Raw genomic sequence first — 12,253 nt, forward strand, 5'->3', positions numbered from 1 at the left:
GCAGGAGACAAAATAAGAGTTCCTGGCTGTCTGCTCCATGCCCCCTCTGGCATGGTGTTGGAGGCCGGGGGTCAGAGATTTGGGGAGTGGTGGGCAGCAGCTATTCTCTTCTTCCTTTCCAGGGGGATGTGTTTGGGGACACATGTCTGTGTGTTCATGGAGCTGTTAGGGCCTCTTCTAGAAGCCACCAGTTTGCGTTTTCATACAGTGGCTGGGATCCATCATTGCTGGTGTTATTCCTTCACATCAGAGCAAACTTCTTCCTTTCTTTTTTATATATAGCAGCTTTATTGAGATATAATTCACATATAATTCACCTGAAACTCACCCATTTAAGGTATACAACACAATTTTTTTTGTTTGTTTGTTTCTTTGAGACAGAGTCTTGCTCTGTGACCCAGGCTGGAGTGCAGTGGTGCCATCTTGGCTCACTGCAACCTCCGCCTCCCGGGTTCAGGCTATTCTGCTTCAGCCTCCCGAGTAGCTGAGACTACAGGCACACACCACCATGTCTGGCTAACTTTTGTATTTTTTTTTTTTTTTTTTTTTGAGACAGAGTCTCACTCTGTTGCCCAGGCTGGAGTGCAGTGGCTCGATGTCGGCTCACTGTAAGCTCCGCCTCCCGTGTTCATGCCATTCTCCTGCCTCAGCCTCCTGAGTAGCTGGGACTACAGGCGCCCACCACCACGCCCGACTAATTTTTTGTATTTTTAGTGGAGATGGGGTTTCGCCGTGTTAGCCAGGATGGTCTTGATCTCCTGACCTCGTGATCCGCCCACCTCGGCCTCCCAAAGTGCTGGGATTACAGGTGTGAACCACCGCACCAGACCCCAACTTTTGTATTTTTAGTAGAGATGGGGTTTTGCCACGTTGCCCAGACTGGTCTTGAACTCCTGGCCTTAAGCGATCCACCCACCTCGGCCTCCCTTAGTGCTGGGATTATAGGCAGGAGCCACGGTGCTCGGCCAACACAATTGTTCTTAATATATTCATGGAGTTGTGCAACCATCACCACAATCAATTTGAGAGCATTTTGATCACCCCAAAAAGAAATCGTTTTTATTAGCAGTCACCTCTTTATTCCCACAATTCTCTGCGTGCTAAGAAATTGTTGAGCTACTTGTACTACAAATATACCTATCCTGGAATGGTCTTTTGTGCCTGGCTTCTTTCACTTGGTGTAATGTTTTCAAGGTTTATCTGTGTTGTAGCATAGATCAGCATGTCATTTCTCCTTAGGGCTGAATACTGTTCCCTAGCACAAGTATATTGCATTTTTAAAAATCTACTCATCTGTTGATGAACATTTGGGGACAGCAAAGCTCTAGTTGAAAAATCAAGATGAAAAATCAAAAAAATATAGTTGAAAAAATCAAAAAAATCTAGTTGAAAAATCCAGCATCATGTGATTAAGGCCAAACTCAACTTCACAAAAGAGAGCCTCTACTATTTTGGGAAAGATCTAGAAGGTTATCTGTAAGCATATGGTGGATGTTACAATGTGTTCAGTGGACACGCCATTCAGCTTTTATTCAGCACTTACCATATGGTGGGCACTATGGTAGGATTCATTAATTAATTTATTGAAAATAATTATTGAGATTATATAGTCTTGTGAAAAGATTTATCAGAGGCTGTTCTGTGAATTTTAGAGGTTTTTTGTTTTTGTTTTTTTTTTGAAATGGAGTTTTACTTTTGTTGCCCAGGCTGGAGTGCAGTGGTGCCATCTCGGCTCACCGCAACCTCTGCCTCCTGGGTTCAAGCGATTCTCCTGCCTCAGCCTCCCAAGTAGCTGGGACTATAGGCATACACCACCATGCCTGGCTAATTTTGTATTTTTAGTAGAGATGGGGTTTCACCATGTTGGCCGGGCTGCTCTCGAACTCCTGACCTCAGGTGAGCCACCCACCTCGGGCTCCCAAAGTGCTGGGATTACAGGCATGAGCCACCGTGCCCAGGTGAGTTTTAGACTTTTTTGGGGTGTAAGAATGGGAGCATGAGTTTGTGTTCTCAGCTCGTTTCATTTGATTTCAGATGTCAGCTCTCTTTAGGAGAGAGGCGTGGAGAAAAGGTGGGACTCTCTGCAGTCCTGTTCTTGTTCTGCCCACTTCCCTCCAGTCATGGTCTCTGGCCGGCTCTCTTCTCCCCAGAGTGGTTCTTTTCCTGCCCCTGGTGTCCCTCTAAGACCCAGATGTTTCCAGCACCCATTTGAGAGGCTGATTCAGCCCAGGCAGTGTCTGGCCTAGGGAAGGTGACTGCAGGAAATGTTAAAAAATGGGGGCTGTTATCATGCCTGAGCATCGCACAGTCCCTCCGTTGTGACTAATTGTAGTGGTTGTTGTTGAAGGGCTGCCCCAGGTCCCCCTCCCTGGACCGGTACACTCACCCCAGCTGCCGAGACGGCGGCTGCTAATGTCCACTGCTGCTAATGTCCACAGCACCACTTCTCTGGAGATTAGCCTTCCTCCAACTGGAGCTGCTTCATCCGGGAAGTTGCTCACCCTGCACCAGCCCTGGCTGACTCAGGGGTGCAAAGGGCTGCTCCTCCTTGTTTCCATGTGGGGTAAACTCCATGGTGCGGTTCATGTTCCAGGGCATCCTGTGGATGGCCTGAGTTGGTCCCCAGCCGAGACCACCTCCTTCCCTTGCCTGGCTCTGCCACCTTCCCTTCCTTTCTCCTGAGGTTGCTCCCTGTTAAATCACACAGACAGACATTCCCTCCTCAGGATCTGTCCCCGGGTGCCCACCCTCAGACACTATCCGGCAACACGTTCCCTTTCCTGAGTCCCCTCTGATGATGTATCTGACTTGGAGATCCTTGGCCTGCTGGCTCTCTTTTCAGTTCTGTTCTGGAGAATAGAAGCTTCCTGGGCTGGCCTGTTGAGTGTTTTGTTTGGTTGGTTTTGATTTCCAAGTCTTTTCAGGCTAATCGGACACGAGGAAAGGTCTGCATTGAATCACAGCCTTGGCACTGTTCCCCCCTTCCTTCCCTCCTCCGTTCATTCCCCCGAACATCCTTTTCTGTGCCGACAATGACCTCAGCAGAAAGGGGAAAAGGACGTGGGAAGGCTGCATGGGAAACTCATGGAACTTGGTAGCAAACAGCTCTGGGTTCAAGTCCGGGCCCTGTTGCTCAGGAGCCAGGCACTCAGTTGTGGTGGCTTCTCTAACCGGGAACTTCTTCTATGAAAATGGGACTATTCGTCTCTACTCCTTGCATTATTGTGGGGATCGGAAATAATCTGGGTCAATGATGTGGTGCAGTGACTAGCATCGAGGGGACACCCTCTCCACACAGGCTGGAAAGACATCCAGAAGGAGTCCTGGGCTCCCTCACCACGCAGGGGCTCAGCCTCGCCAGATAGTTGTCATCACCCATCCAGGCCCGTTTCTGGTCTCATTGCTTTTGTTCATGTACTTTCCTCCTGGGTTGCTCTTCCTTTTCTCTCTGACCTGTCAAAAAGCCCCATTGTAAGCAACATTTAAATGCTACCTCTTCCATGAAGCCCTTTTGGATGCCTCTTAGGGGGATGAGTTCTTTCCATCCTAGCACTGCTTGCTGCATGGTCCAGGATCTGTGGGGCCTGTCTTCTTTACCACTTTGCTCACTTCATGAATGTGGGGGTGTATGAAGAGTATGATGAAATTAGAGGCTATGTTCTGGAGTCAGACTGATCAGTACTGGGATTCTGGCCATACCCCCTCCTTAGCTGGGTGACTTTAGGCAACTGACTGTACCATCCTGAAAGTCATCTGTAAGCCGTGCTGACCCCCCAACCACAGGACACTTGTGCCCGCTGCAGGTGCTCTGTCAGCAGTGACTTCTCACTACCTGGCATCCTCTGAATTCACGAGCAGTTTGAAGAATGAGCAAATACTGAGCAAAGCTCATAGGATTAAATACACACAGACCTGTGTAAGTTAACACCAAGCTAAGGGTTAAATACTTTACAAAAATTCTCAGTGCGGTTGGTGGGTGAGAAGGGCTGTCGTCCCCTCTGGCTGCCTTGCCAAGCTGGTAGAGGGGCCATCTCCCACTACCTACTGACAAAGATTCTTTGCTTGACCCAATTACCCAATTTAATCAGACACTTAAGTCTTTTCCTAGGCCCATCTGTGTACTTCCTGTAAAATCTAGTTTTAGCAAAAAACTCTGCTGAGTCAGTTTGGTAAGGACCACCGGCCGTCAATATCTTCCATATCTGATAGATAGGGTTCCTCATCTTCTACCACCCTCCAGATGATGTCTGGTCACCCTGGCCTGCCTTTAGCAAGAATCTTGATAGGTTGATTTAACCAGAATCCCCCTTACTCCTGATGTTGCCTGTTAGTAATTTTCTATCCTCTGACCCCCACCCTGCTTCTTGGCTGTGAATTTCCACTTGCTCAGGCTGTATTGAGTTGAGCCCTATCTTTCTCCTACACTGCAAATTCCCATTGCCGTGGTCCCTATACCTATCAGGATGGTCCTGAATTGTCTTCTTTATCATCTGCTCTGCTCTGCCAGAGCTTAAGCCCAGGCAGCTGAGTTAAAAGTGTGACCAAATGGACCATCTTGTCCCTGAAAATTGGGACCTAAGCTCGATTCCGAGATTTAATCATGGCAGAGGAGTTTACTCTGCTAACCACCATCACCCCACCCTATCCCCCAGAGGGGTGCGGTGAGTAAGGGGGTGGCAACTGGTTGTTTCCAATCTCCCATCTCTCTCTGGCCCTCCTCTGTCTCTGGCCTCCCTTCTCCCTTTGAAAGGGACACAGTGCTGCTCACAGCCTGTCCTGCTGCGGTGGCTGCAGAGAGGGGCTGAGAATAAGCCTGTGTCCGAGGCAGCCCTCCAAATACAGCAGGGCTGGGTTGACCTTTAAATAGATGGGCTCTGGGCCACTCAGTTCCTGGAAGTTTGAAGAAAGTCAGCCTTTCAAGTGATGCGACTTCCAACCTCAGGAAAGATCGCTGTGTTTGTAAAGGGTATAATTTACTGTTGCTTTTGCACTTCATGATATGCGGCTGCACAGCCAGTGGGAGCCAGCATGCCAGAATTAGGAGGGGAAAATCCTCAAGTATTTTAATATACCCCTACTTAGAAGCAAGATAAACATATGTATTGTACTTTGGGACAGAAGCAAGGGGGGTTTAGCGGGTGGGAAAGGGAGAGTCCTGGCATTGCATGAAAGGTCTTTTTAAGCTGAACTCTGAGGGTTTTCAGTTTTTCATTTTTCTGTTTTTTTTTTTTTTTTTTATTTGTAAGCAAAGCTGGCATGAGCAAATGATGCCAGGATCTACTTGGCTGTGTAAAAGCTGTAGTCCCTCCTCAGACAGGCAGACTGCTAGAACCCTCCCTAAGCCATAAACTAGTACACCGTTTTGCCTCGCCCAATTAAAAATGATTGGGTGTGGGTTGTCATCACAGTTGACTTAGATGATTTACTTTCTTCCAGGAAATCTTCCTCCCAACTCTTGCTTTGCAATTAGGCAAAAGAAAAATAAATGTTAATATGTTCTGTGCTCCCAGGGAAAATTTTTTTAAAAAGAAAATAAAACACTTTGGGAGGCCGAGGCAGGCGGATCACGAGGTCAGGAGATCGAGACCATCCTGGCTAACACGGTGAAACCCCGTCTCTACTAAAAATACAAAAAAAATTAGCCGGGCATGGTGGCGGGCGCCTGTAGTCCCAGCTACTCGGGAGGCTGAGGCAGGAGAATGGCGTGAACCCGGGAGGCGGAGCTTGCAGTGAGCCGAGATCGCACCACTGGACTCCAGCCTGGGTGACAGAGCGAGACTCCGTCTCAAAAAAAAAAAAGAAGTGTCAAGGTCATGAGTGTCAGGGAAAGACTGAGAAATGGTTCCAGACTGAAAGAGACTAAAGAGATGTGAGAATTAAATGCAAAGCTTGATTCTGGACAATTGTCAAACCTTGGATGGCTGGGAGCGTTAGATGTTAGTTACGTATCTGTGTCAGCTTCCTGATCTTCCTATAGAACATGGTCCTAAGGGAGAATGTCTTTGCTTTAGAAAAATACACATGGAAGTACTCTGTAGTGATAGGGCTTCAGGTCCACTACTCCCTCTCACATGCTGTAGGGGAAAAGGATTTGCTGTGTGTTCCCAGCACGTTTGTGATTATTTCACAAATAACAATAATTAAAAAAAACCAACCTCTGGTGGGGCGGTGCGGAATTATTATTATTTTTTTTTGGGACAGAGTCTCACTCTGTTGCTCAGGTTGGAGGGCAGTGGCATGATCTTAGCTCACTACAACCCTCAACTCCTGAGTTCAAGCGATTCTTGTGCCTCAGCCTCCCAATTAGCTGGGATTACAGGCATGCGCCACCAGGTCTGGCTAATTTTTTTGCATTTTTAGTAGAGACGAAGTTTTGCCATGTTGGCCAGGCTGGTCTCAAACTCCTGACCTCAGGTGATCCAACCACCTCGGCCTCCCAAAGTGCTGAGATTAGAGGCGTGAGTCATCATGCCTGGCAGTAATCTTTTCAGTGGAGAATAAAATAAACCCGGGTTTGAATTCTGACCCTTTAAATTTACTCAGGGTTTGACTTCAGCCAGGGAACATAACCTTTCTGTGCCTCAGTTTCCTCATTTTTCAAAACAAAGATGGTGTGTGTGTGCATCTCCATCTATGAGTTGTTGTGAATAGGAATGTAGGGGCCCCAGCAGGGTGTGTAAAGGTACCAGTTCCTGGGGCGTCAAAGGTTTTTCTTTCCCTTCGTACCCCCTCACTGACATGCCCAGGTCTGTCTGTGTAGAGCAGTGGGTGGATTTACAGACTCCGCTGAGAACCCCCTTATAGCATATTTTCAGGTTCGTGATGATATCATGGGCTGTGACCCTGGGAGTTTAATTGGAATGAATTTCAAGGTTTTGTTAAACTTGGCTAGAATCTTCCTATATCTCCAGCAAGATATTGATGGGGTTTTTGTTGTTGCTGTTGTTTTTGAGACAGGGTCTTGCTCTGTCACCCAGGCTGGAGTTCAGTGGTGCCGTCACTGCAGCCTCAACCTCCCAGGCTCAAGGGATCCTCCCCTTCAGCGTCCCTAGTAGCTGGGACTACAGGTGCGCTCCACCACACCCAGCTAGTTTTTGAATTTTTTTGTAGTGATGGGGTTTCACTATGTTGCCCACGCTGGTCTCAAACTCCTGGGCTCAAGCCATCTGCCTACCTTAGCCTCATAAAGTGCTGGAATTGCAGGTGTGAGCCACTGCACCTGGCCAAGAACTTGGTGTTTCTTATTTCCAAGCTTATCTCCTCTGTTATTTGCTCCCAGGGAGACCCCTTTTCCATTTATGTTTCCAGGGTGCTGGGGGGAAGTGATTGCCCTCATCTCTTTTGCCCAGCCACCAAACCCAGTGCAGACTCTGCTGAATGCAGGCCCCATCTCTGTATTTTACTTATTCCATTTCCTGTCTTGAAGGTGGGGGCACTATGTTTATCTCTAGGACCCTGACTGGCTCATCATTGAAAGCTTATTTTGTGCAAAGCATTGTTCTGAGCACTGTGTGTGTATGATTCTACTTCATCCTCTGTAACCCTAGCAGTCCGGTCAAATAGTATCATTTTATAGACAAGGCAACTGAGGCACAGAGCAGCTCAGCAGCTTGCCCAGATCACACAGCTGGAAAGTGGTAGAGCTGGAATCTGGATGGGTGCTGGCAGCCTGGCCTCAGAGTCGGTGCTAACCACTGAGCGGCACTGCCACCCAACGGATGGGAGCCTGCAGGATGAGGCCATGGGAATTGATTTCACTCAGCGCGAGCCAAGCAGAACTCCCGTCCAGACCTCTGTCCACCACCCTAATAAAGCCAGTGTTTACACAGGCTGGAGGTGCTCATCAGATGTTTTTGCCAATCCCCAAATACGGCCAGGGCCAGAAAGTGAGAGGGGTGCCTATTATGTAAGGCCCTGCGGCTGGTCCCCAGACAATGCCACTTCCTCGCTTGGCGCTGTGTGACTGCATAACAACGGGTTACTCATTTCCTCTGGAAAACTTCACAGGGCCTCTTTGCCCCATTTCCTCCTCCCACCCCATCCTCAGGCTTCCTCTGTTGAATTTTCTCCAGATTCCTGGGAACACCACCATGGAGGGCCTGGCCTTTGGCGGTGGACAGTCTGTGGCTGGGTGGGAACGTCAGGAGTGGGGCCTGCCTCTTTGCTGGGAATGCCGTGCACTCCCAGCCCACTTGCCCCATGCCAGCACTCGAGGCAGGTGAGGCCCAGCCATGGGTATAAGGTGCTCCCAGGGCGGGATTAGCCTCAAGGAGGCAGGGGGTCCATGTTTCTGCTCCTCTCCCATTACTAACGGGTGTCTGCTTTAGGTTTGATCTCCCTCCCTTCTGCCCCTCTCCTGGTAAAGGGATGAATAATGAAGGCCTTCCTTGGGAAGTCTGAGATGGATTACCCCAAGGAGGCTCGAACATGGGAGGACATGCGAGAACTATTGTCACATGAGTTTTCTTTCTATCCTGTCTGCAGGACTTCGCAGGTGAGCAGTAACGGAAATCAGCCCCGTTTATTCCTCCCAGCACCTGCCTTATCCAACTCCCCACGCTGTGGCTGAGTCCCAGCCTGCTATGGAAGCATCACTGGACTCCCATTGAACTCTGTGCAGATTCGCTGTTCGTAGACATGGTACCTGATGGACACCAAGCTACGTACAGCTTCAAGGCCCCTTCTTTCTTTGCTAATAAAAAATAAAAAATAAAAACATAATACACGTTATATTTCTATCTTATAATACACATTTCTTATTTTTATCTCAATAAGCTGATATATAGTAGATATACACATCTCTGACTGTACATACATACACAAACACACACACACGTACATGCATGTATATGCGTATCTATCTCCAATGCATGTGGAGTGTTGTGCCAGGTCATCCTCACATTTAATTTTTCTGTTCTATTTATCATTCTTAAGGATTGTCAGGCATTAGGGATTTATCTATAGCAATTTGGATCTTAGCAGTTCTTTTCATGGGTTATCTTATTTTTTCCTTCCAACAACCTTGGAGGCTATAAAAGGGCATATTATTGCCCTTTTATAGATGGGAATTAATTTATTAGCAAACTCAGTTTCATGATTTTTTTTTTCTTTTGAGATGGAGTTTCGCTCTTGTTGCCCAAGCTGGAGTGCAATGGCACGATCTCGGCTCACTGCAACCTCTGCCTCCCGGGTTCAAGCGATTCTCCTGCCTCAGCCACTGGAGTAGCTGGGATTACAGGCATGCGCCACCATATCTGGCTAATTTTATATGTTTAGTAGAGATGGGGTTTCTCCATGTTGGTCAGGCTGGTCTCGAACTCCCAACCTCAGGTGATCCACCTGCCTTGGCCTCCCAAAGTGCTGGGGTTACAGGCGCGAGCCATTGTGCCTGGCCAGTATCATGGATATTTTTAAAGTGCTTGTTGTGTGTTGGGCACTACTATGTCCTGCATTTAGAAATAGAACTCATTCCTATTCTCTGCTTTCCCATGGAGAGAGGCACAAACCTGCGGGTATAGGTGGGTATAGTTTCTTAATGTGCACACCATCGTAAAGTGGAGACCCTGTGCGTGAGATGTGTGCTGTGTACAGGGTGGGCAGGAGAGAGACTGGTGAGGGGATGATGCCCTTATGCTGGAAGGGGCAAGATGAAGCCTCTCTGGGTTTGGTGGGACCTTGGAGACATCTGCCTAGTGTGTGGTCACCCAGAGGCCAAGGATGTGCTGTTTCTACTTGCTTGCTGCTTTCTCTGGGAGTGGCCATTTCTTCCAAGGCAGTGTAAGAGCCTGGGCATAGGAGCCAGGCAGAACTGTGTGGGGATGTTGCCTCCATAGCTTTCTAGATGAGCAACCTTAGGAAAGTTTGAACAGTTTCTCTACATCCTGGGTTCTTCATCCATGAAATGGGAATTATTGTTTGAGCCTCTAAAGTGAGACAGTCAAATGAGATGGGCATTTGAAGCCTTCAGCAGGGTTCCAGCCTCACAGCTAACTCTCAACTAGCTGTGATGGTTACAGAGCTGTAGGTTGCTCATAAGTCAACATTGTAGTTGCTGGAGCCATCAACTCAGCTATAGGATACAACACTGAGCCCTTTTCACTATCCTTTGATGGGTCTCCTTTTCCCTAGTATGGGCCATCGGCTAAGGTGATTGAAAAAGGGCCTTTCATGTTTTCAAAGGGGCAAAGAAACTTCAGTAGTTGGTTGGGCATTTTATTGAGTAGAGGTGACTCCATGCAGTTCTTTTTGGGGGAAGGATGCTGCACATTCCAGGGTTTAACAAAAATTTATTGAATGCTTACTTTGCCCCAGGTACCTGTCTTGGTAAAGGTGATAAATAAGACAGCCTCATCCTCATCTTCATCAAGCCACCAGTCTGGTGGTGGTGACTGGGGTGGGGACTGCTGAGGCATTGGGCCCCTTGAAGCCTTCCCTCTGGGTGTCTTCCTCCCCAGGATGGTCTGGGCTCTCTCGGGATGGGAGGAAGTTGGTCTGAAAGTGCCTCAGTGATCGCTGAAATAGGTTTGCCAAAGATAGAGGGGAAAGAGTTGGCCAGCCTTTGTTTAGGGACTCCCAGAATGGTCTTAGGTCAGGAAAGAGTGAATGGGTACATTTCTCCCAATTTCTGGGCTGGAGATTCCAAACTGACTCCTTCATGGCAGGCTTCCTTATCTCTGCAACATTTGTTTACATGTTCCCTTCATAGATTTCTAACAGGATGAAGACTTTGTTCCTTGGGGTAAGGGTCTACCTCCAGGTGTGTGGGGAAAAGTTGAGAAGCTGCTAAATTCTTGGCTTTGACTTATCAATGGTTTTTCGGAGGGCCTGGAGCTGGGCTGGGACTGATCAAATTTGGTAATTGCTTAGGCAGCCTCCACTTTTGTTGCTCCTGGGGCCAGATGGCGTTGGGCTAGAAACAATATCGGGGAGTTCTGTTTGGTTTTAACTGCTGTACCTGGGTGCTCTGTTATCCAACCAGGCCCTCTCCTAAGTTCTCTTCTTTTTTTTTGAGACAGAGTTTCACTCTTGTTGCCCAGGCTGGAGTGTAATGGCGCTATCTCACAGCAACCTCTGCCTCCCAGGTTCAAGCCATTCTCCTGCCTCAGCCGCCGTAGTAGCTGGGATTACAGGCATGCACCACCACACCCAGCTAATTTTGTATTTTTAGTAGAGACGGGGTTTCTCCATGTTGGTCAGGCTGGTCTCGAGCTCCGGACCTCAGGTGATCTGCCCGCCTCGGCCTCCCAAAGTGCTGGGATTACAGGCGTGAGCCCTGTAATCCCGGTGCCCAGCCAGTTCTCTTCTTTTTTTAAGCCTCTTCCTTTAGAAGGAAGAAAACATAATCTATATGCTGGCTGGCTCTACACAGCAGCAGGCATCACAAGGGGTTTTTGTCTGCTTTTGCTTCTGAAGGTGAACCCACTATCTATTTAGAGAGGCCAGGTCAGGGTGTGTGTGTGTGTGTGTGTCTTTTTCCCTAGGGTGGGTATTTTCATTCAGGAAGGTGTTGTTATGATCCCCTGTTGTAGAAGAAGCAGTGAAGTTTTAGGGAGATGAAGTGCTTTGTCTGATGTCACACAACTGATAGATGACAGAATCACATATGTATTCAGGGGTCTGGTCCAAAGCCTAGAAGAAGGTGAGCCATGCGTGGCCCGATGGCACAGAGCATGAGCTCTGGTTGCACAATCGTGGGAGGTTACTTAATCTTGAGAAACCTCAGTTTTCTTATCTGTAAAATGGGACAGTATGTATCCCAAAGGGCCATTTTGACCATTTATCAAAGTCAGTTTCTCCTCCGTATGGAGCGGAGAACAGTGTCCAGCATGCAGTACGTGCTCTGATGATCTTGGCTGTAATGACCATCCTGGTTAGGGTGGATTTGGCCAAAAGCTGGAGTAACTGGTAGCTTCCTGATCTGAGAGGTGTCAGTGGGTGGTGTGGCCCAAAGATTGAGAATCTTGTCAGGGGTGGCCACGTGAGGGTGGAAGTGGTTTGAATGAGGAATGGTCTTGAGGTAAGAGTTGGACAAACAGTGTCTTCTCTCTCTCTCTCTTTTTTTTTTTTTTTTTTTTTTTTACTTTTTTTTGAGATGGAGTTTTGCTCTTTTTGCCCAGGCCAGAGTGCAATGGCGCGATCTTGGCTCACCACAACCTCCGCGTCCCAGGTTCAAGTGATTCTCTTGCCTCAGCCTCCCGAGTAGCTGGGATTACAGACATGCACCACCCACGCCCGGCTAATTTTGTATTTTTAG

The 12,253-nt window shown here is 48.1% G+C and overlaps 1 long non-coding RNA gene across 51 annotated transcripts in view, besides 1 other annotated feature; it reads left to right on the forward strand.

Annotated features, from left to right (window-relative positions):
* Positions 1-12,253, forward strand: part of PVT1 (Pvt1 oncogene) — a 306,733-nt gene that overhangs the window by 129,457 nt on the left and 165,023 nt on the right. The window lies entirely within an intron of this gene.
* Positions 689-1,188: an enhancer, noted in NCBI's record as "H3K4me1 hESC enhancer chr8:128936915-128937414 (GRCh37/hg19 assembly coordinates)". NCBI's record gives its function as "activates a minimal SCP1, AML or CMV promoter by ChIP-STARR-seq in primed H9 embryonic stem cells {active_cell/tissue: H9 hESC(primed)}" and the evidence as "EXISTENCE:reporter gene assay evidence [ECO:0000049][PMID:30033119]".

This window comes from Homo sapiens, chromosome 8, assembly GCF_000001405.40.
Source record: "Homo sapiens chromosome 8, GRCh38.p14 Primary Assembly".
NCBI classification, from domain to species: Eukaryota; Metazoa; Chordata; class Mammalia; order Primates; family Hominidae; genus Homo; species Homo sapiens.